Source organism: Homo sapiens, chromosome 18 (assembly GCF_000001405.40).
Source record: "Homo sapiens chromosome 18, GRCh38.p14 Primary Assembly".
Taxonomy (NCBI): Eukaryota; Metazoa; Chordata; class Mammalia; order Primates; family Hominidae; genus Homo; species Homo sapiens.
This window is the reverse complement of record NC_000018.10, coordinates 674,552-700,011: the sequence shown is the minus strand read 5'-3', so window position 1 is coordinate 700,011 and position 25,460 is coordinate 674,552. Positions and strand designations below refer to the sequence as shown.

Here is a 25,460-nt window from a genome sequence, read left to right as displayed (position 1 = left end):
ACCTCCTGGGTTCAAGTGATTCTCCTCCCTCCGCTTCCCAAGTAGCTGGGATTACAGGCACCTGCCACCATGCCCAGCTAATTTTTGTATTTTTAGTAGAGATGGGGTTTCACCATGTTGGCCAAGCTGGTCTCAAACTCTTGACCTCAGGCAATCCACCGGCCTTGGCCTCCCAAAGTGCTAGGATTACAGACGTGAGCCACCGCGCCCAGCCTGGGGCACCACTTTCAAACTGTCCTTCTCAAGATCTTATTGACAGTAAAACTGTACCCCTACAACTGTCCTATTAAATGACTAAAAACTTTTACTATTGAATCCACGGCAGCACCAAACAAATTAATCAAAACGTTTTGGAATACATTCCTTTCTTTGAAGCTAAGTTGATGGCTTGATTCAATTATTGTGTCCATTTACACAACGTAGGCTAAATGTTTCCTAGAATTGGCAAAGGATCAAAGGGTTACTTTACTTATTCATCATCTTAAATAACCCAAGAAAGCCTTTATATTATTATTATTATTATTATTATTATTTGAGACAGGGCCCAGCTCTGTCACCTAGGCTGGAGTGCAGTGGCACAATCTCAGCTCACTGCAACCTCTGCCTCCAAAGCTAAAGTGATCCTCCTACCTCAAGTGATCCTCCTACCTCAGCCTCCCGAGAGGCGGGGACCACAGGCGCACCACCGCAACCGGCTAATTTTTGTATTTTTTGTAGAGATGATGTCTTGCCACACTGCCCAGGCTGGTCTCAAATTCCTGAGCTCAAGTGATCCACCCACCTCAGCCTCCCAAAGTGCTGGCATTACAGGAGTGAGCGCCAGGTCCAAGAAATCCTTTCAAAGTAAAATACCACAGGACATGGTGGCTCACACCTGTAATCCCAACACTTCAGGAGGCCGAGGTGGGAGGATTGCTTGAGCCCAGAGTTCCAGAACCTCCCCACCCACTGCCCCATGCAACATAGCAAGACCTTGTCACTACAAAAAATTTAAAAATTAGCTGGTGTGGTGTTGCGTGTAGGTCCTAGCTACTCAGGAGGCTGAGACAAAAAGATTGCTTGAGGCTAGGCATTCAAGATTACAGTGAGGTGCTGGGTGCAGTGTCTCAGGCCTGTAATCCCAGCAATTTTGGTGGCCGAGGCAGGTGTATCACTTGAGCTCAGGAGCTCGAGACCAGCCTGGGAAGCATGGTGAAACCCTGTCTCTACCAAAAATACAAGAAATTAGCTGGGCATGGCAGCTCAAGCCTGTGGTCTCAGCTACTCAGGAGGCGGAGGTGGAAGGATCACTTGAGCCCAGGACGCAGAGATTGCAATGAGCCTAGATCCCGCCACTGCACTCCAGGCTGGGTGACAGAGTGAAACCCTGTCTCTAAAAAATAATAATTAAAGGTACCAAAAATAAATAATTGATGGTAATGCCGACCCAAATTAAATTTAACCTTCAAATTACTTATGAAAAATGTAGTATATCATAAGAAAGTCAATAGTAAGAAATTTCATGTTAAGACAGTGTTTTCATATATTTTAACATTTTACATATAAATAGTATGCTAATTGCAAATTCATTTTATTTAATGTTTAATAGTTTATGTTATGAATTCAAGGCATTTTCTATACTTGTCAATAATGAAAAGGCATTTCTCCTTTTAAAAATTCTATGAAGTCAGCCTTCTTATTCCTTAGGAACATGAACTAGTGTGGTTTGGTTTTGAATCTGATTGTTCAAACACTTTACAAAGTGAATAGGAAAATAATTTGGGAACATTTATATTTAAACTTGTCAATCTATGATTCTGTTTTTCATGTGACAGCCAATCACAATGTGTTCTCTACTCAGGAAGTTTAGCTCAGTATATGGATTAACACGTGTTCTACTTGTGTGATATTTCTTATGACAACCACAGAAAACATATGGGGCTGGGCACAGTGGCTTATGCCTGTAATCCCAGAACTTTGGGAGGCCAAGGCGGGTGGATCACTTGAGCGCAGTAATTTGACACCAGCCTGGGCAGCATGTCGAAACTGCGTCTCTACAAAAAATACCAAAATTAACCAGGTGTGGCGGCACATGCCTGTAATCCTAGCTTCTCGAGAAGCTGAGGTGGGAGGATTACCTGAGCCGGGGAGGTCAAGGTTGCGGTGAGCCGTGATAGTGCCACTGCACTCAAGCCTGGGTGACAGAGTGAGACCCTGCCTAAAAAAGAAAAGAAAAGAAAAGAAAACATATTTGATGCAATTTTAAAAAGAATATACCTTTGAGATAGAGTCTCACTCTTGTTGCCCAGGCTGGAGTGCAGTGGTGCAATCTCGGCTCACTGCAACCTCTGCCTCCTGGGTTCAAGCGATTCTCCTGCCTCAGCCTCCTGAGTAGCTGGGATTACAGGTGCGCACCACTGTGCCCTGCTAATTTTTGTATTTTCAGTAGAGACAGGGTTTTGCCATTTTGGCCAGACTGGTCTGGAGCTCCTCATCTCAAGTGGTCCTCCTGCCGTGGCCTCCCAAAGTGTTGAGATTACAGGCATGAGCCACCGCGCCTGGCCTAGATTTAATTTTTTCATAAAACTTTCACATTTGTTTGTTTGTGATGTTTTCAGGTGCTAATTTCTTGACCTAGTATAGAAGCATAAACAAGAGTTCAATCCTTTTTAAATAGTTGTCTGTGCTGTGAATGCCCTCGCCCACCATGTGCTCAACAAGGACCTCAAGGACATTGTTGGTGACTTCAGAGGCTTCTATAGGCAGCTCACAAGTGATGGGCAGCTCAGATGGGTAAGGGACCTATTTTGTAAAATGCTTACATAAGTAATATTACCAAGGTCTGAGATGTCCTTTGAGTGCAACGAATGTGAAAATAGAGATGGGTTTATTTATTTGTTTATTTATTTATTTTTTGAGATGGAGTCTCACTCTGTCACCCACGTTGGAGTGCAGTGATGCAATCTTGGCTCACTGCAACCTCCGCCTCCTGGGTTCAAACAGTTCTCCTGCTTCAGCCTCCTGAGTAGCTGGGACTACAGGCATGCACTAGCACACCTGGCTAATGTTTGTAATTTTAGTAGAGATGGGGTTTGACCACGTTGGCCAGGCTGGTCTCGAACTCCTGACCTCAAGTGATCCGCCTTCCTCAGCCTCCCAAAGTGCTGGGATTACAGGTGTGAGCCACCATGCCCATCCTAGAGATGTGTTTATAATTTTAAAGTAAAACATTTTATTCAGTTAAATTCAGGCTTGAGTCATTTAGATCATCAGTATTTTGAGGTAAACAACTCATTTCTGTAAGACTGATGATCTAAATGACTCAAGACTGAATTTAGCTGAATAAAATGTTCTACTAAGGAGATGAGGTCCTGAGATTTGGGTCCTAAGAGCTATCTCTTCTCTAAGGACCTCATCTCCTCCTCCCTGAATTGGAAAGTGCTCTAGAGGATAAAGTACTAAATGGGCAATCTCTTTATGGAGAAATAATGTGAGTAGTGTTAGAGATGTAAGAGAAGGTCAGGCCGGGCGCGGTGGCTCACTCCTGTAATCCCAGCACTTTGGGAGGCCAAGGCAGGCAGATCACGAGGTCAGGAGGTCGAGACCATCCTGGCTAACATGGTGAAACCCCGTCTCTACTAAAAATACAAAAAATTAGCCGGGCATGGTGGCGGGCGCCTATAGTCCCAGTTACTCAGGAGGCTGAGGCAGGAGAACGGCGTGAACCTGGGAGGCGGAGCTTGCAGTGAGCCGAGATCGCACCACTGCACTCCAGCCTGGGCAACAGAGTGAGACTCTGTCTCAAAACAAAAAAAAAAAAAAAAAAAAGAGAGAGATGTAAAAGAAGGTCATTAAAGAGAAAACATTAAGAGAAGAGCAAATTTAAAAAGATGGAAGACCATGGTACCTTTTATGTGTTTGGTATTTGAACTATAAATTCAAGGCATGAAAAAGTTAGGCTCTGGAGAAAGGATTCCAACACAATAAGGTGAATTCAATACCCTGACCTTTGCCTTTGTCCCGTGATACTGGATTTTGTCTTTTCCTAACCCGGCTTAGTCTCCCATCCATGCACTGAGAAGGGCACAAGAGAATGTACTTTCAATAGTGCCTGGGATTTCATCTTTTACTTTATACAGAGAATATTAAACTTACCTTGAAAGATGTCACCTTGAAGAAGTTCCCATTGGCTGAATCTGGGACAATTTGAACATCCAAATAAATATGATAGTAATGGCTTATAACCCATTGAATAAAATCCATGAGTCCATTCAGATAATGAACAATCAGCTGGGCACAGTAGCTCACGCCTATAATCCCAGCACCTTGGGGCTGAAGCAGGAGAATCACTTAAGGCCAGGAGTTCAAGACCAGCCTGGGCAGCATAGTTGAGACCCCCGTCTGTACTTTTTAAAAATAAAAATAATAAAATAAAAAATTTTTAAGGAGGTAATAAACAACAAGGTCAAGCCCATTACAGCTGATTAAAATCTAATAAATATAAAAGGAATGATAACATCAGAAAATCACCATAACTGTCATAGCTACAATTAATTGAGGCAAGAGTCATCAAGGGATGCCCAAATTTTGGGACAATAATAACCTCCTTACTTGGAAAATGAAATGGTAACTTCACAGTGGAGAAAGCAAATGGACACTAAGTTACCCAAGTGGTAAAAGTTAACAATCCTAATAATAAAACAAAATGACATAATCACTTATGTAGTATTGATGCCAAAAAATGTATTACCTGAATCTAGTCATGAAGGAACTCCAGATCAGCCCAGATTGAGGAATGCTGTACAAATCAAGTGGCCTGTACTCTTTTAAAATGCTAATAACATTTAAAAAAGAAGAAGAAAAATTATTCCAGGTAAAAAGAGACTAAAGAGGCATGGCGACTAAATGTAATACGTGATCCCAGATGGGATATGGATTAGGGTAAAATAAAATACATTATTGGAAAAAACTGGTGACATTTGATTATGGACTGGCCTTTAGACAGCAATATTCTATCAATGTTATATTCCCTGAGTGTGATTATTGTACTACGGTTATGTAAGAAAATATCCTTGTTTTCAGGAACTATACACTGATGTATTTAGGGTTAAGAGAGCATGATATTTGCAACTTTATTCAAATGGTTCAGAAAAAAGAAGTACATATGTGTGTGTGTTCATATGTATATACATACATATACTTAACATATATATAGAGAGAGAGAAAGAAGAGAGGAAAACACAGGTGTTTTTCCTGCTATTCTTAAAACTCTTCAATAGGTTAGCAACTGTTTTTTTTAAACTTAACCTTTAGGTGGGTTTCTATTGCTACCTTTTAATTCTTGAGATGTGTCCCTGGACGGAAGACCTAAATATCTTTCTCTCTCTCTCTTTTTTTTTTTTTTTGAGACAGAGTCTTGCTCTGTTGCCCAGGCTGGAGTGTAGTGGTGCGATCTTGGCTCACTGCAACCTCCGCCTTCTGGGTTCGAGAGATCCTCTTGCCTCAGCCTCCTGAGTAGGGACTACAGGCACAAACCACCACACCTGGCTCATTTCTCTGTTTTCAGTAGAGACGGGGTTTCACCATGTTGGCCAGGCTGGTCTTGGTCCCAAAGTCCTGGGTTTACAGGCATGAGCCATCACACCCAGCCCTCTTTTTCATTTCTAAAAAGTGCTTTTGTACTTTGCTTCCTAACCAGATTGGTCCAGAAAAGGGCGTGGTGCACCTGGCGACAGCGGCCGTCCTAAACGCGGTGTGGGACTTGTGGGCCAAGCAGGAGGGAAAGGTAACCCCTCTCACAAACGCTCAGGAGGCTCCTGGGAGCTGTACGACACTGACTTTCCCTACGCACAGAGGAAAGACAGACACACTGCAGCCCCCAAAAGGAAATACAGATAATTGCTTTGGTGTTTTTTTCTCCTCTGAGAGGTTTTGGCAGTAGGTAGGGAACTGCAGGAGGAGGAGAAAGAGGAGACAGGATGGCGGAAGGCGCAGGCAGCAGTAGAGGGGGGTGTGGGGACCTGGTGGCTGACAGCCAGCATTAGAGCTGCCAACGCGTTTACTGTCAGGAAAAAATGGGGACTTTACACATATGTCTTACAAATCCTTTCTTTTTTACTTCAAGCCTGTCTGGAAGTTACTTGTGGACATGGTGAGTAGCATTGTTAATGTTACAATTGTTTCTGTAAATGAAATGGATATCATTGATGACATGCCTTTTGATGATCAGTAAATATATTCAGGACTATCTGTTGATCACTATAGCGATGATAAAGCAAAAAGCCAATAAAATATGACATTCCTTTTCTGATATCTGACGTAACAGATGGCTGTGCTCATGCAGGCAGGGTGGCATGAGGGGAAGCAGTGAGGGGGTCCTGCCTCCCCCACTGTGCATGTGTAACACACGGTGCCAGTTCTCTGAGCCTCCATTGCCTGACTATGACAAGAGGATCATCCTAACTTCTCTAGGAACCTCACAAAATTAAAGATCAATGAGAAAAGCACCTCATAAACTCTGAAAAGCCAGATGTTATAATATTATGAAGATATTATCCAGGCCAGGCATGGTGGCTCAAGCCTGTAATCCCAATACTTTGGAAGGCTGGAGGATGGCTTGAGCCCAGGAGTTTCAGGCTGCAGTGAGCTATAATTGCACCACTGCACTCAGGTGACAGAGCAAGACCCTGTCTCAAAAAAAGAAAAAAGAAAAGATACTATCCAGTCACTTTGACACCAAGAATAAGATCAGGCCATTGTAGCCTCTACTGTACAATTCCAGCAGGGAAGGAGCTCAACACTGAATTCTAAAGCTATGCACTTGACTGTTTTCTTTCTCCTTGACCTTTTCATAGCAGGGGTGAACAACTGGATGCTGAGGAGGAAAAAACTGGGCAAATTAAAGGGGAATGAGCTTCAGACCCCATGCAGAGCTGGCTGTGAGTCCGGGTTTCACTGCTCACCAGCTGCATGACCTTGAGCATGTGACTTCCCCACTCTGAGCTGCGGTGGCCTCAGTGCAACACCTGGGTGGCGGTTAAAAACCTCGTGATCCACAAATGAAGGCCCTTGTTATTAGTTGGCAAAAAATTAAGGAAAAACAAAGAACACCATGGCCTTGAAGAGTGTTGGGCAGGAGACTGCTCCTCCTCCGGAGGAAAGTGAAGACAGGAGGCTGTCACATCGTCTCTGACATGGAGAGTGGCTTCCGGGCCATCCGTAGGGGAAGGACACAGAGCTCTTGAGCCCCCTTCTAGATTCAAGGTTGGCGTTTTACGGGGATGGAGGAGGTAGCCACCAAAAGGGAATGATTTGCAGGCCACCAGAAATGTGCCTGAGGTCCCACCTGTGGACCCTCCATTTTTGGATCCTGTTCCCTTTCAATGCCAGTACTCTTTTCTTTTTTCTTTTTTTCTTTCTTTCTTTTTTTTTTTTTTAGACGGAGTTTTCTTCTTGTTGCCCAGGCTACAGTACAGTGGCATGATCTCAGCTCACTGCAACTGATTCAAGCGATTCTCCTGTCTCAGCCTCCTGAGTAGCTGGGATTACAGGCACCCGCCACCATGCCCAGCTAATTTTTTGTATTTTTAGTGAAAACGGGGTTTCACCATGTTGGTCAGTCTGAGCTCGAACTCCGGACCTCAGGTGATCCACCCATCTCAGCCTCCCAAAGTGCTGGGATTACAGATGTGAGCCACCGAACCTGGCCCAGAACTCTTAGAAGTAGAATCTCAGGGTTGAAAGAGTTTTTAGGATTTTCGACAGTTATGGTAGAGTATTATTGGTCACTATAAGATGTTAGTGGGAATGGAACTACTGGCTGTTTTCCAACTGACTGTTCCGTCAGGGTGGGGAGAGGTCTCAGCACGAGGCCCCGCCGAAATGTTGGTAAGTGGTCAGCCAAGTGGGCCGCTCACTCCCGGTTCACCCACTGTGTTTCTGTCAGTGAAGCAAACATCCCCATTTGGCAGGAGAAGAAGCTGCCGGAGGTCACACTGCTAGTGATTGGTGGCCCAGGGGTAGGGCAGCCTTCTTTCCTCTGCAGTTCACTGCTCCAGAACCATCTCCAGCCTCATAGCTCACCGTGGACAGCCCTGCGGTGTGGCGCTGATGTACAGAGTGATGCCAGGCGTTCATCTCCCCACTGAGCTCCTGCTGAGTGTTTGCCTGGGGCCAGGTCCTCCTTCCGGGAAGTCATTTTAGCTGGAAAGAACAGGGTGGGGGCGGGTGGCAAGGGATCAGAGCATGAGCGTTTGAGGGCTTCGTCAGGGGCAGTGAGGAGCCTCTAAAGGACTCTACATTTAGGAATGACAGAGTCAAACAATTTAACAAAGCCCTAAAGGTCCCTGCCAGGAAAGAATGAGCCCCATGTATCACCATAAGCAACTTCTTAGAAACATAACCCACCCCTGTCATCCCAGCACTTTGGGAGGCCAAGGAGGGAGGATTGCTTGAAGCCAGGAGCTCAAGATCAACCTGGTCAACATAGTGAGACCCCATCTCTACAAAAATAAAAATAAATTAGCCGGGCATAGTGGCACATACCTGGAGTCCCAGCTACTCAGGAGGCTGAGGCAGGAGGATCACATAAGCCAGGGAGACTGAGGCTGCAGTGAGCTATGATGGCATCACTGCACTCCAGCCTGGGCAACAGAGTGAGACCTTGTCTCTAAAAAAAGAATAATAAATTTTAAAAAACAAAATATAACCCACCTTATAATTGATTCAGGCCTCTTCCCCTCCTGTCACGTTGCCAGGATCCCAGGATGCTGGTATCCTGCATAGATTTCAGGTACATCACTGATGTCCTGACTGAGGAGGATGCCCTAGGTGAGTTTGGAAGCTTTCTGGGATACACGACGTGCACACACAGTAGTGGCATGCTTTGTTTCCTAAAAGAGTGAGTGATGCTTTTTATTTCTTCCAGAAATACTGCAGAAAGGTCAAATTGGTAAAAAAGAAAGAGGTGGGTTGTAAGAAAATTTTCTTCATTGTTTTTGCTAACATTGTCCACTTTTGAGTGCCCCTGTCCTTTTGGGGTACACATTGTCTTCCCAAATGCCCTGTGCTGAGCAGCTAGGCCCTCAAATCAACATTCAAGTCTGCATGGTGAAGCCTGCTGGGTATGACCTCTGACTGCAGAGTTTGCTTCAGCCACTGCTGAAAGGAAGTTTGGCTTTAGGATTACACTGTAGGGAGAGCCCTGGGGGAGCAGGGCAGTCCGTGAGAGTATCCTGATCACCTGGGTTTGACATCCTAGTAATTTGTGGCTGGGTGTGTGTGTGCAGGGCCGGATCAGGAGAACAGCTGGACTCTCCAGGGGAAACAGCTTAGCTACAGGCACTTCCAATTCCGAAGGGCCCTGGAAAGTGCAAAATGTTGACGGCGCTGTGTTTTCACAGAGAAGCAAATGCTGGCACAAGGATACCCTGCTTACACGACATCGTGCGCCTGGCTGGGGTACTCAGATGACACGTTGAAGCAGGTGGGCATTTTAACCTGGCTTTGTAGACAGCTGAATGGGGAGAAACCAACCTGTTTTTCCTTCTGTCCTCATACCACTACTCTCAGTACCTCACTTCTGACACCAGATGTGTGTGGTTTTCCTTCTCACGCCAACCAGTTCTCCACTTCTCTGTGGACACCAACTGGGTGTCCTGCTATTTTACTCAATTCTGACAGCACATACCTGGAACTAGCCTCAGACCCCACAGGTTAAGGGCTCAGTCTTACAGGACTGCCCTATGGCAGATGCCAGTCACAAGTCCACGTTGTCACCTGTGCTTCTGACTGGCTTTGCCTCAGATTAGAGGTTCCCACAAACCCCGCTTTGAGTTGAATCATTTGGTGGAATGGCTCACGGAATTCAGGGAAACACTACTTATGTTTACTCATTTATTATAAAGGATGCAACTTAAGAACAGCCAAACTGAAGAGACACACAGGGCAAGGTGTGAGGAGGGGGTACAGAGCTTCCATGTCCCCTCCAGGTGAGCCACACTCCCAGTACCTCCACGTGTTCACCAACCTGGAAGCTCTCTGAACCCTGTTCCTTGGGGGTTTTATGGAGGCTTCAGTATTTAGATGTGATTCATTATTTGGCCATTGGCCATCAATTCAGCCTTCAGCCCCCTCGCCTCCCCAGCTATCTGGGAATAGGCTAAAGTTTCCAACCCCACAATCATGCCTTTCAGGTCTTTCTGGTCCCCAGCCCCGTCCTGAAGCTACGTAGGGGACCTCAGCAGGGCTCTCTCGTTCACGTACAAAAGACACTCCTATCACTCAGGAGATGCCAAGGGTTTTAGGGGCTGTGTGTTGTGTGTTAGGAAATAGGGGGGCAGCGATGGGGGCAGAGACAAAATATATATTCCTTCTTATGTCACATGGGCTTTTGATTCCAGCCTCTCTGGGAGAAATTTAATACTTTCCTGTTCACCTCTCTAAATCATTTTGGCTGAGGGCAGTGGCTCACGCCTATAATCCTAGCATTTTGGGAGGCTGAGGTGGGTGGATCACCTGAGGTCAGAAGTTCAAAACCAGCCTGGCCAACATGGTGAAACCCCGTCTCTACTAAAAATACAAAAAATTATCTGGGCGTGGTAATGCGTATCTGTAGTCCCAGCCACTCAGGAGGCTGAGGCAGGAGAATCACTTGAACCCAGGAGGCAGGGGTTGCAATGAGCCGAGATCACGCCACTGCCCTCCAACCTGGGTGACAGAACAAGAGTCCGTCTCAAAAAACAACAAAAAAATTATTTTGGATCCAAGCCCTCGTTCTGAAAGTACACAAGCAAATGCAAAGCCATTCATTTTGTGGACCGCAGGACTCTGTGACTTAGTGAGTCACCTTGGGCTCTGGAAGGTGACAGCCTAGGGTAAGATTCCTGGGCAGCACCAGCGGTAGACCCACTGCGAGATTGAGAAGTAATGCCTATTTCATGGGGTGGTTTTGAGGATTCAGATACATGCTGTAAGTTGCGTCATGCTCAAGGCACCATGGCTGGCACATGGCATGCAGTCGGCACATGGTGGATTTATTACTGTTTCTCCTTACACTGTGCCCACTTCTAGAGAGTGGAGAGAGAGGCTGGCTTCTGCATGTTACTCTTATATCCACTCATTCTATGGATGCCACAGAATATTCTAGCTTTAAAAAGAGAGAGATCAGTGCTATCTTCCCCTTCCGGGAAGGTTGTGACCATTAAAAAAATGGTTCCCATAGAGATGAGGAAAGAAAGTCACCCTACAAGTAAAAAGTGATCTCTGTCAGCCAGGCTGTTTCTGCTGTTAATTTCAACAACACATGGGTGTTACTCTGGTCTATGCTATAACCGTAATGCTTGTGAAACAGATCAGCAATGACTGACTTCCTGGTCAGACCAAGGGGCTCTCTCCAGTGTGTGACCCTGTGCTCCTTTCCCACAGCTCTGTGCCCAGGCGCTGAAGGATGGCTGGACCAGGTGAGTGTGATGATGGACCTGACTTTCCCAGTTGGCGGCAGGAGAGACTCAGGCAGTAAGTCTCTCCTGGCAGGGAGCCAAGGAGTAAAAGGCACCCACGGGCTAGGATCCCCCTGGCTCATAGGGATGCATAAGAGAAGTTTCCCCTTAGGCCAGGCTCTTTCTCTAAAGGCAGGATGTGAGTCCTCATTAGAATTATAGGCCATCAGAGTTGAAAGAGGCTTGGGAGATTGTTTATTTCGGGCACTAACCTAGAGTAGAAATCCAGTCTTTACTGTCAGTAACAGCGTTGATTCAGTTTCTGCATGAACATCTCCAGAGGCAGCGAGCTTAACTTGGTGAGGCACTTTCCATTCTTTGAGGGCTTTGAGTATTAGGTGGGTCTTTTCTTCTCTTTTTTTTTTTTGAGATGAAGTTTCACTCTCGTCACCCAGACTGGAGTGCAGTGGCGCAATCTCGGCTCAGTGCAAGCTCCACCTCCCGGATTCAAGCCATTCTCCTGCCTCAGCCTCCCTAGCAGCTGGGATTACAGACACCCGCCACCACACCTGGCTAATTTTTGTATTTTTAATAGAGACAGGGTTTCGCTATGTTGATCAGGCTGGTCCTGAACTCCTGACCTCAGGTGATCCGCCTGCCTCAGCCTCCCAAAGTGCTGGGATTATAGGCGTGAGCCACTGCACCCAGCCAGGTGGGTCTTTAATATCAGCAACCCTTTGCTTCCATGTAATTTCCAGCCAGAGGTCCCAGTTCCCAAGAGCCAGGCTGTTCCTCTTCCACTTGAGTGCCCTCCTCTCCCTCCAGGCCACCTCCTTTCCACACTGCTCATCTGCACTTCTCCCTTCTGACTCTCGCCTGTGCAGGTAAAGACCTCTGGCCATCCTAAGACCTTCTCTGGATGAACCTCGATGGTTGATGACCCTGCATCCTGAAACAGGGCAGGATGCAGAGGGACCATCATCTCTTTTGACCCAGTCACTGTGTGTCCCTCAGCACAGCTCACGGTGGCACTTTTTGCCTGTGACATGTCACCAGGCTTCCTATCTGACTTGCAGCCACTCTGGTCTCTGAGCCTCCTGCTACTCAGTGTGTCCTGTGGAGCAGGAGCTCCAGCATCACCTGGGAGCTTGTGAGAAATGCAGCCTGGGCCTCTCCCCAGACCCGCTGCCTGGGAATCTGCATTGGAACAAGATCCCCTAGTGATTCCTATGCGTTCTTAAGTTGGAGAGGCACTGAATTCTTGTTAATGCCTCAGCTAAATAAAGGCTTGAGGAGTGAGAACTTGAAGGAGGCAGCATGAAGCCGCGGAAAGAGGTGTTGGCATCTGATAGAACTGAAATCACATCTTGCCTTTTCCCCTCATCCGCTGCAAGTACTTGCTGTGTGATCAATTACTCAACCTCTCTGAACTTCATTTTCTCTCAGTAGAAATAATATGAGCTTTGGTCCTCCTCCAAGTTGCCATATCTCAGAAGGACCAGCACAGGGCAGGATTCAGAGCAGCTGCTGTAAGTGCTGTTTGCCCTCCCTCTGCATACCCGGGGGAGGCTGCAGCAGTGTATCTGGTGAGTCAGAGAAGGCTGTGGGGAGATTTAAAGGGTCTCTTCCCAGCACAGGAAGCCTGGCACCCAGAGCCTAAGGCCAGCCACCCTCTCTGGAGCATCACGGATCATGTAGTTGAAGCCTCCAGCTGGTACAGAAGAGAACAGCAGGTGCCTGAGAATGTGCGGCACTCTGCAAGCTGGGGCTCTTTGCAAAGCAGCAGGGGGACCTCAGCCAAGGAGGCGCACAGGGAGGGTAGGCTGCTGTTCGAGGGGGCAGATGCTGGCCTCCCCGTGGTGGTGTCCCCTCCTCCACCTGCCAGTGCCCACACTGAGGCCAGCAACACACTCTTCTGACAGCAGAGTCATAGGGTGTGGACATAGAGGCCCATGTCTCAAGAGAACAGCTGGACATCCACAGAGATTAAGGAGCTCCCTACAAGTGTCTGGATGTGGTGTAAAGGAGACCTCTGCACGGAGGCTCCAGCCGCACTCTGCTATTCCCTAGTTACCTGATCTCATCACTTTCCCTCCCGGAACCTCAGGCCCCTGCACTGCAGGGGACAGACCATCCCTGTGGCCTTCCTCTCACTGAGTTAATTCAAGACAAAGCTCTCCTTTGTAAACCAGACCCTTTCCATTCAGTCTATCACAGTGTGGCTTACTCGGCACCCCTTTTCAGCCCCGCTCTCCTCTTCAGTTCTCACTGTGGCTTTTTTGTTCTTAATTCCTTTTCATGGCCCGGCAAAAACGGAGTTAATTATATTAAAGACCTGACTTCCCTGTCTAGCTCCTTAACTCCAGGTCAGCAGATAATTGAGAGTCATTGCCCTGATACTGAATGAAGAGATAAAGTTCCCAGGTTTATTTCAAGTGACTTATCTGAAGATGAGGAAAGAGCAAGAGGTTACTAAAAAACATATCTGTGAATTGTTGACAGAGACGGTCACTTCTGCAGAAACTCCAGATGCCCTTGCCAAGTCCAGGTACAGGTCTAAACTAGCAAACCAAATGCATTTTCTAGGTTTAAAGTAAAGGTGGGTGCTGATCTCCAGGATGACATGCGAAGATGCCAAATCATCCGAGACATGATTGGACCGGAAAAGACTTTGGTAAATATCCTCTCACACCACTAAGAAGCAGTAGCCTTTGTCCAGGGCTAAATACAACTCGTTTCAAGATTAAAGAACATTGGGAATTTAAAAAGTTAATTGTCAGAGGAAGTACACTTCTGTGGTCTTGCAGTAGGCGAGCTCAAACAAAAATAAGCAAAGGGACTAATAGTTTTACGTTTTTTAATTCTGCAGAACTAGTTAAGTAAGTTTGGGGTTAAGGATCCTTTCTTACTAACACAGATGTACCTGAGCAAACAGTTTTCCCATTGGTGCTCTGGTGTGTCAATCATGTAATCTCCCCTCCTAGCTCCTCAGGTAGGAGGGTGTCAGGGGGCCATTACTGAAGAAATGTTGGAACTTCAGCTGAGATAAATGTAAGGATCAGTCATTTCTGATTTGTATTTTTATAAACCAGTTCTTACGTGTAAAATATTTTCATAAAGTCACAGTAAGATGTTTTTATGAGGCTTTGGAGGCTTTTTTGCATAAGTTAAAATAGAAATTTTGAGTTCTTGACCCAGGATCACTATTTATACATGAATTAATGCTGCTTTTTTTTTTTAATGAAGTCATCTGTATCCAAATAACTTATGATAAAAATTGATTCTGGGCTGGCCAGATGCTGTGGCTCATGCCTGTAATCCTAGCACTTTGGGATGCCTAGGTGAGTGGATTGCCGGAGCTCAGGAGTACAAGATCAGCCTGGCAACATGGAAAAACCCCATCTGTACCGAAAAATACAAGAAAAAAAAGTGTTAGCATTATATGGCTCATGCCTATAATCCTAACACTTTGGGAGGCTGAAGCAGGTGGATCACTTGAGGCCAGGAGTTTGGGACCAGCCTGGGCTACATAGCAAGACTCTCTCTCTAAAAGAAAGAAGAAAAAAAATTAACCAGGTGTGGTGGTGCATGTCTGTAATCCCTCCTACTTTGGAAGATGGGGCAAGAGGATCACTGAGCTCAGGAGTTGGAGGCTGCAGTGAGCTACAATAATACCACTGCACTCCAGCATGGGCAACAGAGTGAGATCCAGCCTCTTAAAAAAAAAAAATCCATTCTGAGCATACTGTCCTCTGGTTTTCATAGTGTCCTGGGAGAGAGCTCTTATCACTTAGCACATTCTGTAGAGATGTCCATTTCTCCAAGCACAATAAGATCAGGGATGAGGGGCTGTCCCTTAAGCTGGGCACAGCCATCACCTGGCTTCCAAGAAGGATAGTGGTACACAGAGAGCCAGGGCCTAGGAGGGAGAGGACTGGACTTGAACTCACCATTCACTAGATTTATTGTTCTTAAGCAAGTTACTGAATTTCTCTGCATGACAGTTTTCTTATTTGTAAAATGGGTTAATATGAACTGCCTCATGGGGTTATTATTATTATTTTTTGAGATAGGGTCTCACTCAGTCACCCAGGCTAGAGTACAGCAGCATGATCACACCTCACTGCAGCCTTGACCTCCCCTGGCTCAGGGGATCCTCCCACCTCAACCCCCTGAGTAGCTGGGACTACAAGTGAGAGCCACCACACCCAGCTAATTTTTGTATTTTTTGTAGAGAGAGGATTTTGCTATGTTGCCCAGCCTGGTCTTGAACTCCTGGGCTCAAGAAATCCACAGGCTGGGCCAGATGCAGTGGCTCATGGCTGTAATCCCAGCACTTTGGGAGGCCGAGGCGGGCGGATCACAAGGTCAGGAGATTGAGACCATCCTGGCTAACATGGTGAAACCCCGTCTCTACTAAAAATACAAAAAAAAATAGCCTGGTGTGGTGGTGGGCGCCTGTAGTCCCAGCTACTCGGGAGGCTGAGGCAGGAGAATGGCGTGAACCTGGGAGGCAGAGGTTGCAGTGAGCCGAGATAGCGCCACTGCACTCCAGCCTTGGTGACAGAGCGAGACTCTGTCTCAAAAAAAAAAAAGAAAAAGAAAAGAAATCCACGGGCTTCAGCCTCCCAGAGTGTTGAGATTACAGGCATGAGCCACCATGCCTGGCCAGTTATTATAAATATTAAATGGAACAAAATCCATAAAGTGCCTAGTGGAGTAGGTGTGCCATTATGGGAGAGTTAAGGCTACTTATTATTGTGCCAGACACACAGTGGGCAATAGTCAATAAATGACTATTGAACAAACAATGTTGATTGTGCATGATTCAGAATGTGACAAAATGGTTTCTACGAACAGAACCAACACTGCAAGACACATGTATTTGGGTGGCATCTAGATGGAGATTGGACCAGAGCCCAGGGCCAGCGAGCACTTCTCATGGCCCAGCCCAGGGCACTGCTGGACATCCAGTGGCTCCTCAAGCGATTCACGGCTCCTCCTAAAGACTGTACCTGGAGCCAGAGTCCCCGTCTCAGCAGCTGCTCTCTGGCTCTTTTTGTTAGGGCCGTGTGCTGGGCCTCAGCAGAGGCGTTAGGGGGTCTCACTCAGCTGTTGGTGGCACTGAGTGACAGCATTTCCTCCCTGGGAGCCGCAGCCCTGCTGTGAGGTTGGCTCAGGGCTGACCTCCCTGTGAAGAGTCTCTTTTTGCAGATGATGGATGCCAACCAGCGCTGGGATGTGCCTGAGGCGGTGGAGTGGATGTCCAAGCTGGCCAAGTTCAAGCCATTGTGGATTGAGGAGCCAACCTCCCCTGATGACATTCTGGGGCACGCCACCATTTCCAAGGTAGGAAAACGGCTGCTGCTGCTGTGGCAGCTTATTTTTCTGTTTAGTTTTCCAGAGTGCTGGGGACAGATCCTAAAATTTCTTCACTTGTTCCCTCTTGCATTTCCTGTTGAAGTAGCTGAAATAATTGTAATGTGTGACAAATACAGGGGTTACAGACCTGACATTCCTTTTTCTACTTCAGCTTATACTTTGCCCTTATTTCTGTTTGTTTTAGATAAAGTAAGCTGCTAAAAGTTGAAGGGCTACCAGCAATTTGAAGGTTAATAGACATGGTTCCTATGCTTTGTAAATACAGAAATGTGACAGCATTTTTTTTTTTTGTTTTTTGGTGGTTTTTTTTGTTTTGTTTTGTTTTGTTTTGAGATAGAGTCTTACTCTGTTGCCCAGGCTGGAGTGCAATGGCATGATCTCGGCTCACTGCAACCTCTGCCTCCCGAGTTCAAGCAATTCTTCTGCCTCAGCCTCCTGAGTAGCTGGGACTACAGATGTGTGCCACCATGCCTGGCTTTTTTTTTTTTTTTTTTTTTGGTATTTTTAGTAGAGATGAGGTTTCACCACATTGGCCAGGCCTGTCTCGAACTCCTGACCTCAGACCATCTGCCCGCCTTGGCCTCCCAAAGTGCTGGATTACAGGAGTGAGCCACCGCGCCCGGCCTTGTGTTTTCATCTGATAATTTTTTTTCTCCTACACGCTAACTGGTTTGGCACAGTCATGTGCCCCATAACAATGTTTCAGTCAGTGAAAGACTGCCTATATAATGGCGCAGTATATATAATCCCATAAGCTTATAATGGAGCTGAAAAACTCATTGCCCAGTGACGTTGTAGAGATTGTAATGTGGTGCAACGCATTACCTTTCCTATGTTTAAGTATGTTTAGATACTGGCCATTGTGTTCCAATTGCCTGCAGCGTTCAGAACAGTAGCATGCTGTACAGGTTTGTAGCCTGGGAGCAATAGGCCATGCCATATAGCCTAGGGCGTGTAGTAGTCTCTACCATCTAGGGTCATGGACGTACACTCTATGATGTTCACACAATGATGAAACAGCCCAACGGCACATTTCTCAGAGGGTAACCTTGTCATTCAGTGACACGACTGTACATTCATGTGGCTTATAGCCACATCCTGCCTGCCTAGGAACATTTTTTCCTGAGGTGACTTTGCATAGCTATACACTCCCCATTTTGTGTTGATCTTACACCTTTAACTCTGATGGAGCAGTCTTGGTTCCAGTTCTAGGAGGGACACCTTGATGCATCCCACATAAATTCATGGGTCGTACTGGAGGTGTGGAGTCGGGGACTCAGGGACCAGTTCTCTGTTTCTCTCAGCAAATCAGCACATGATCTACATTATGTGGGATACTCTGCCAAAGCCTGGGTTTCAGAAATGCCCTCCCCTTCCACATTGCAGCCTCGCTGGAGAGAACAGCCGAGATATGTGAAACAAAGACCGGAGGATACTGGGCCAGGGCACTGAATGCCAAGCACAGTAGAAAAGTTCATTGAGGAGAACGTTGGGTGTGGGCTGGGACGAGGGAGATGGCCAGAGCTGACTCCATAAGGAAAGCTAAGCCTCAGGTGAGGGAAGGGTGAGCAGGAGCCATGGAGCGACCACAGCCTTCATTATTTAAACAGAGCCCAAATTTTCTGAGGAATCATTCCACAATAGGAATCTCAGGTGAGGAGCCCCGGGGAAACAAGACTTTTCACCTTGGGTCCCACTTGCTTTTTCCTCCTTAGGGCTCTTTCAGGTTGGCTGTGCCCTGCTGAATGCCAGCTGGCCTAGCACCAACCTGATCTCTGCCTACCTGAGCATCTCACAGGAAGCTCCTCAGGGCTCTAACCCTCCCAGGTTTTGCTTACATGAGGGAGGCCATCCCCTTAGGAGTATCTGAGGAAGGAGCAGCTGCAGAGCCTGCAGGTCCAGGCGGGGGCAGTGGAGATGCCCCAGGGAGCACAGGGCACATGCCAGGGACAGGCTGCCACGTGGGGCTGGATTATGGGGTCTGTCCACTCAGAGGATGCAGCCAGTCAGAGTGAGCCACCGCAGCTTCTCCGATGAAAGAACGGCATAGTGGCCAGGCATAGTGGCTCACACCTGTAACCCCAGCACTTTGGGAGGCCGAGGTGGGTGGATCACCTGAGGTCAGGAGTTTGAGACCAGCCTGGCCAACATGGTGAAACCTCGTCTCTACTAAAAATACAAAAATTAGCTGGTCTCGATCTTCTGACCTCGTGATCCGCCCACCTATAGTCCCAGCTACTCGGAGAGGCTGAGGCAGGAGAATGGCGTGAACCCAGGAGGAGGAGCTTGCAGTGAGCCAAAATCGCACCACTGCACTCCAGCCTGGGTGACAGAGCGAGACTCCATCTCAGAAAAAAAAAAAAAATTAGCAGGGCGCGGTGATGTGTGCCTGTAATCCCAGCTACTCAGGAGGCTGAGGCAGGAGAATGGCTTGAGCCTGGGAAGTGGAGGTTACGGTAAGCCAAGTTTGCGCCATTGCACTCCAGCCTGGGCGACAGAGCAATACTCCATCTCAAAAAAAAAAAAAAAAAAAAAACACAACAGCATAGTGACAGCTGAAGCACAGATAATGTGACTGGTGGCTACATGTAGAGTCCATTGAGACAGAGGGTGTGTGGGAGGTGAGGAATGGGCAGGGAGAAACCCAGGCAGGGATGGGAGCGAGGAGGCTTTTCCAGGAATCTGAGAGAGATAAAGGGAGAGGGCAGCTTGAATAGAGCAGATTCAGGAAATATTGAAAAGGAGGAAAAACATTTGGCCCCTAGTCTGCCATATATGCTTAAAATGGTAGAACAAATAAGTCAAATGGCCTTTCCTCCTCCCCCTTCCTCCGTTTCTCCCTTTCTCTTCTCTTTGGAGATAAATAACCAAGAGTACTTAAATTAGAAATTTTAAGAAGCATAAAATGTTGGCTTGAAAAGGTGCCTTAGAGACCATCTGCTCAAACTAAGGCCTTCTGCAGATGAGGAGGCCGAGGCTTTGGGTGGCACAGGCGGGGCTTGCCCAAGGCCACACATCCCGTGAGATGCGGGGCCAGCACCGGAATCAGGGATACTTGGCTGCTGAGTGAAGGGATTTTTCTGCTGAGAAGTTGGCTTAGTCTGATTATTCAGATGCCTCCTCTGGCTCTGGAATCAGTGGAGTTCCAACCCAGTCTCTACCACTTTCTAGCTTTGTGATCCAGGAACAGTTCAAACCCGGCACACAGTTTTATCATTTTTTATAAAATGGGGATAACGCTGGCTCCTCTCCCATTGGATTGAGACCAGGAATCATTTAAGTCAGTGTTTTGCACAGCACCTGACAGGTACTCAGAGCTCCAAAAATGTTAGCTGTCAGTGTGATTACTATTACCCTAAGCAAAGGGAAGGGAAGCCAGGGAGGAACCAAGGCTACCTGTGCGGAGTAGCTGTGGAGTCGCAGTCACAGTAGAGGATGGATGGGAGCGCCCAGAGTCCAGGTGGCAGGTGACGGAGGTAGTGTTCAGGGGCCAGGTGAGAGGACAGAGAGCAGCAGGGCTGTGTTCAGGTGCAGAGTCCAGTACCTCACCAGGTGAGGACTCTACCAGGTGAGCAATGGTCTCAGCCTAACCTGCAGATTGAGGTCTGAGGCCACCCACTGAGCTGGAAGGAAGAGGATTTTTTTTTTTTTCATGGATTTTTCCTGCCTTAAGGAAGAGGATTTTGGAATCAACAAAGACATGAGGCCAGGTGCAGTGGCTCACACCTGTAATCCCAACACTTTGGGAGGCCGAGGCGGGAGGATCATCTGAGGTCAGGAGTTTGAGACCAGCCTGGCCAACATGGCAAAACCCTGACTCTATTAAAAATACAAAAATTAGCCAGCATGGTGGCGTGCACCTCTAATCCCAGCTACTCAGGAGGCTGAGGCACGAGAATCGCTTCAGCCTGGGGGGTGGAGGTTGCGGTGAGCTAAGATCATGCCACTGCACTCCAGCTTGGGTGACAGAGCAAGACTCGGTCTCAAAAAAAAAAAAAAAAAAAGATATGAGAGGGTTCTAGAAGGAGGTTTCTCAGGGAGGCAAGAAGAAGGGAATTGATGGAGTGATGACCCACAGGAAGGAGTCGTCCAAAGGTTGGACCCTGTGAGTCCACAATGAGCCACTCCGAATAGCCCTGTCCTTATGCCACTGCGCAGGCTGGAGAGGGAGGTGCTGTCCACGTTGGGAGGAGCGCAGCTGGAGCATGGGCCGGGACACCGCAGAAGGAGATCTGCAGAGCCCTGGTCAGGAACGGGGCTGGTGGTGGCAGCTCAGCAGTGCTCACCTTCTCCTCTGCAGATACACAGAGCCCTCCCGCACGCATGTGTTCCCCTGGACATCCTTTGCCAGTCTTGAGCCTTCACATGGCTTAACAGCAGGGCCGTTTCCTCCTTCAGCTATAAATGTTTTTAAACATTAGGAGTTGCAGTTCAAAACTTAGGAAAATAACACCAGGCTGCCTTCTATTTTATAGGCACTGGTCCCATTAGGAATTGGCATTGCCACAGGAGAACAGGTGAGTGACGCCCCCAACAGGTGGATGACGTCCCCTTGGGGTCAGTACACGCTGACCAGTGACCGAGGACACAGTTGTGTGTTAGGCTCCATCACCTGCTGTACTTTGAGTTGGGAAATTTTCATCATCTTAGAAACTGGGTCATTTTATCAGAGTCTAGAGTCAGATATAGAAAAAGTTTGTGGCTATTTCTCCAATTTATATGACTAAGGTCGGGTATCTTTTTCAAAGTGTCTAATTGAAATTGAAAAGGCAGCAATTTAAAGTTGCTATTGCAAGGGCAGAAAATGGTCTTAAGAAAGCCAGCTTTCAAATTGAATAAACATGACTGCGTTCACTTTTTGAGCTTATAAATGAAGCCCGAGTGCCTGCCAAAACCTGCTGCAGTCAGCCCACGAGCAGAGCAGCGTGAGGAGCTGATTCTCAGTTTTCCCGGCAAAAGGAGCAATACTGCTCTGCCGTGGTTCCGTGTTGTCATCTGTGCCACCTGCTCATCACTGTCACCGTATTTCATCCTGATGCTTCATCTCCCACTTATCAGTCGCTGTGACAGTCATTCCCTCATAAATGGCGAGCCAGTGTGATTTTGACCTGACTCACACTGTTGCATTAGCAGATTTGTAAAGAAGTGAGCACAAGGTCCCTGCCCACGCTATAAAAGCTCGCCTCATGCCCAGCGAGAACAAAGAAGAAATACAGTCTGGGCTTCCTGACGGCCACTGATGAATAATTATTGGCATAGAGTGGCTGCGTTGCCAGGTTTAGAGATCCTGAAGGCCAAGGCTGACTCTTCTGTTGGTGTTATTTTCAATTCTATTTCCAGTGCCACAATAGAGTGATATTTAAGCAACTCCTACAGGCGAAGGCCCTGCAGTTCCTCCAGATTGACAGTTGCAGACTGGGCAGTGTCAATGAGAACCTCTCAGTATTGCTGATGGCCAAAAAGTTTGAAAGTAAGCGTGCTGCAGCGGCTGCAGACCAGACCTTCATTTCCCCACTAATCAGACACCTCCCTTGATGGTTTGCAATTCACATGCATGGGAGTCTGTAGTTTGCCATTTCGATTTTTTTCTAACTCTCATTTAGCTTTAATCCGGGAATTTTTGATGATTTTCATCTTGGAATTTCCTTCCTAAATATTAATAAATGATTTAATCACCTGTGGGCAATAAGAAAAACCAGAAAGTTCCCTTTCACCCCTTCCTCTCCCTGCCCTACTCTTGGTATTAAATAGAAACGATTTCCTTTTAGTTCCTGTTTGCCCCCATGCTGGTGGAGTTGGCCTCTGTGAACTGGTGCAGCACCTGATTATATTTGACTACATATCAGTTTCTGCAAGCCTTGAAAATAGGTCAGTAATGTGGCATTAATACTTTCTGTTTCAGTAGGGTCCCTCAATCCAGGCCAGAGCTTGTAAATTCTGCCTTCATGACCAGAACACACTAAGACCTTGTCCGCTGGCATGTCCTATAACTCTCAGGCGGAGTTGGTTTTGCTTTCACAGAGACCCACCAATGAACGGTCATTTTGCCTCCTAAGATAGGGTCTGGTAGCTGACTCACTTTATTTTTTAAGTACATTGAAGGTAAGGCTTGCAGCCACACTACTCCCTTAACCAGCTCCTGTTTTCATCACGTGTATTCTGTACTTCTGTCCCATCTCCTCTTCCCAGTACTGGAGTCTTCCATGGTCTAGACACACATTTATTTCATCTTATTTCTCAGAACGCCCCAGGTGGGCTTTTAAATTAGGACAATCTCCTTCCAGTCATCTGCACACGTAGGGTTTTGCTTATTCCACTTTTCTTGTCTCCTGGAATTAAATGTCTCACAGAAAGATCACTGCAAGTATATAGCAAAGGCACAAAAGCATTCACTGGGAAAGGGAAACACCAAATTCAGGACTGTGAGTGATAAATGGGACCCTTGAGGGTACATAGGAGGCTTCAGTAATAATGGTAACCGTTTTTCTCTTCAGGGGGGTAGTGAGTAGACAGGTGCTGTCTTTTAATATAGCCGAACTATTTTATACTGTATTAGTCTATTCTTGCACTGCTATAAAGAAATACCTGAGACTGGGTAATTTATAAAGAAAAGAGGTTTAATTGGCTTACAGTTCTGCAGGCTGCACGGGAAGCATAGCGGCTTCTGCTCAGCTTCTGGAAACTTACAATCATGATGGAAGGTGAAGGGGGAACAAGCACTTCTTATGGCCAAGAGCAGGAGGAAGAGAGAGTGAGGGGGGAAGGTGCTACACACTTTTAAACAACAGATCTTGTGATAACTATCTCGAACAGCACCAAGGAACGGGTGCCAAACCATTCATGAAGGACCACTTCCCATGATCCAATCACCTCCCAGCAGGCCCTGCTGCCAACACTGGGGATTACAGTTCAACATGAGATTTGGGCAGGGACACAAATCCAAAACAAATCCAAACCATATCAGCCTGCCTGTCACAGCTGTTCAATAACAGGCGATGGAAGTCAGGCAGCAGAGCTCGGTCACTTGCCCCAAGCCTCAGAACTACAAAGTGGCTGACGCAGAACCTGAACACAGATTGACCTGATTCTAAATCCTCTGCTCTTCATCTAAATCATTTGTATAGCTGAAAGGAACCTCATTTGGTGATTTTATTTTTTGGGTGGGGAGTATGGAATGTATTTTATTGTTCTGCATCTGGGTTTGCTTCCTTAGATGTCTTGGTTCTTGGATGGAGGTGGGTGTGTCCCACCTCCCTCAGTTGTGGTCCCATGGACCTGTTCGGATTGTTTTCCAGGTACAAAGTGTACCGAGAAAGCCTCACAGTGCTAATGCTTCCTAGATGCCCAGCTGAGGCAGTGACAAAATGGCCCTCCCAACCCTACCTGCCAAAAAAACCCCAAGCCCCTGGCAGCTGCTGCAGCCATGTGAAAAAATACAAACGCTTCTTGAAAAATAGATCACAAAATGTGGTGATTTTAATCTATTCATCTGACTTTTGACCAGAGGAACCCAAATAATTCTGGATATTTACAGAGTCTGAATTGATCCCTTTTAAAGGGCACCACAAAACCTCTAGAGGGACTTCGTGTGTTCATGTCATCAAAGTCCCCACCTCACATTGCTATATTTTAGAAGAAAAGGACCTGAGGCACAGAGGTTTAGGGACTTGCCTAGAAACGCATGGTAACACAGCTAAGCCTTGGCCAACACTGTCAATTGAGTGGTACTCGCTCCTTCTGCTTTAAGTTAGCACCACGTGAATAATCTGACTTCAGGCATCATTGCCCCGATCTGATTCCCTCCTCCTAGGGTGTGTGAGTATGTTGACCACCTGCATGAGCATTTCAAGTATCCCGTGATGATCCAGCGGGCTTCCTACATGCCTCCCAAGGTAAGCTGTGGCCTGAGGGCCCCTGTAGAAGAGATGCTGCCAGCCACTGCCACGCCTGTCTCGTGAACTAGACTGTGGAGCACCAAGCTTTGACTCCTGTTTGTTTGCAATATCCACTAACAAACGGTTCTTCAGTTTGTCTGTATCAAAATCCTCAGGCCTGAGGGCCAGGGCTTGGAGGTTCAATTGCCTCTGACAAGGCTTCTGTAATACTAGCCTTTCCTCACTAGTGGAGATCTTAACATTTGCACTCCTTGTGCAAAAAAACCTGGCACCATCTAGCAAGTTAGTGACCTAAAAAGTTTGGACTACAATTGTGTGGCTGGGGCCATTTATTCTGATCATGTTCAAGAGATCATGGCTCATTTTCACCAACAGAGGTCAAACTATTATCAAAGAGTTTGATGAGTTAACTAACTCTGGCAAGTAGCCAGTAAAATATGTTCCTCTGCCCTATTATTTCCAACAGTCTCCAAACTTATTTTAAAAATATTAATTCAGGGCTGGGCATGGTGGCTTACGCCTGTAATCCCAACACTTTGGGAGGCTGAGGCAGGTGGATCATTTGAGGTCAGGTGTTTGAGACCAGCCTGGCCAACATGGTGAAACCCTGTCTCTACAAAAAATACAAAAAATTAGCCGGGCATGGTGGCAGGTGCCTGTGATCCCAGCTACATGGGAGGCTGAGGCAGGAGAATCACTTGAACCTGGGAGGTGGAGGTTGCAGTGAGCCAAGATTGCGCCACTGCACTGCAGCCTGGGCAACGGA

At 46.9% G+C, this 25,460-nt stretch overlaps 1 protein-coding gene across 46 annotated transcripts in view, besides 2 other annotated features; it reads left to right on the top strand.

Moving 5' to 3' along the window:
• ENOSF1 (enolase superfamily member 1) overlaps positions 1-25,460 on the top strand; it is a 49,645-nt gene that overhangs the window by 12,619 nt on the left and 11,566 nt on the right. For 6 of the 46 annotated variants that reach the window (XR_007066184.1, NR_148707.2, XR_007066181.1 and 3 more), the window contains exons 3-15: positions 2,657-2,772; positions 5,678-5,764; positions 6,104-6,130; positions 8,736-8,808; positions 8,906-8,944; positions 9,381-9,463; positions 11,404-11,438; positions 14,004-14,091; positions 16,632-16,766; positions 21,275-21,316; positions 22,140-22,269; positions 22,568-22,667; positions 24,610-24,691. Coding sequence is in view for 25 of the 46 variants with exons in the window: in NM_017512.7 (NP_059982.2) it covers positions 2,657-2,772; positions 5,678-5,764; positions 6,104-6,130; positions 8,736-8,808; positions 8,906-8,944; positions 9,381-9,463; positions 11,404-11,438; positions 14,004-14,091; positions 16,632-16,766; positions 21,275-21,316; positions 22,140-22,269; positions 22,568-22,667; positions 24,610-24,691 (1,037 nt within the window). In the remaining 21 variants the exon portion in view is untranslated. Of the gene's footprint in view, positions 1-2,640; positions 2,773-5,677; positions 5,765-6,103; positions 6,131-6,262; positions 7,243-8,707; positions 8,809-8,905; positions 8,945-9,266; positions 9,464-11,403; positions 11,494-12,175; positions 12,726-14,003; positions 14,092-16,616; positions 16,767-21,274; positions 21,317-22,139; positions 22,270-22,567; positions 22,668-24,609; positions 24,692-25,460 lie in introns of those variants that run through there. The other 40 variants (XR_007066189.1, NR_148706.2, XM_024451208.2 and 37 more) reach the window with 22 other exon arrangements.
• Positions 2,268-2,400: a silencer, noted in NCBI's record as "fragment chr18:697612-697744 (GRCh37/hg19 assembly coordinates)". NCBI's record gives its function as "represses an EF-1alpha promoter that drives an FKBP-Casp9 reporter gene in an ReSE screen in HepG2 liver carcinoma cells {active_cell/tissue: HepG2}" and the evidence as "EXISTENCE:reporter gene assay evidence [ECO:0000049][PMID:32094911]".
• Positions 13,290-13,878: an enhancer, noted in NCBI's record as "OCT4-NANOG-H3K4me1 hESC enhancer chr18:686134-686722 (GRCh37/hg19 assembly coordinates)". NCBI's record gives its function as "activates a minimal SCP1, AML or CMV promoter by ChIP-STARR-seq in primed H9 embryonic stem cells {active_cell/tissue: H9 hESC(primed)}" and the evidence as "EXISTENCE:reporter gene assay evidence [ECO:0000049][PMID:30033119]".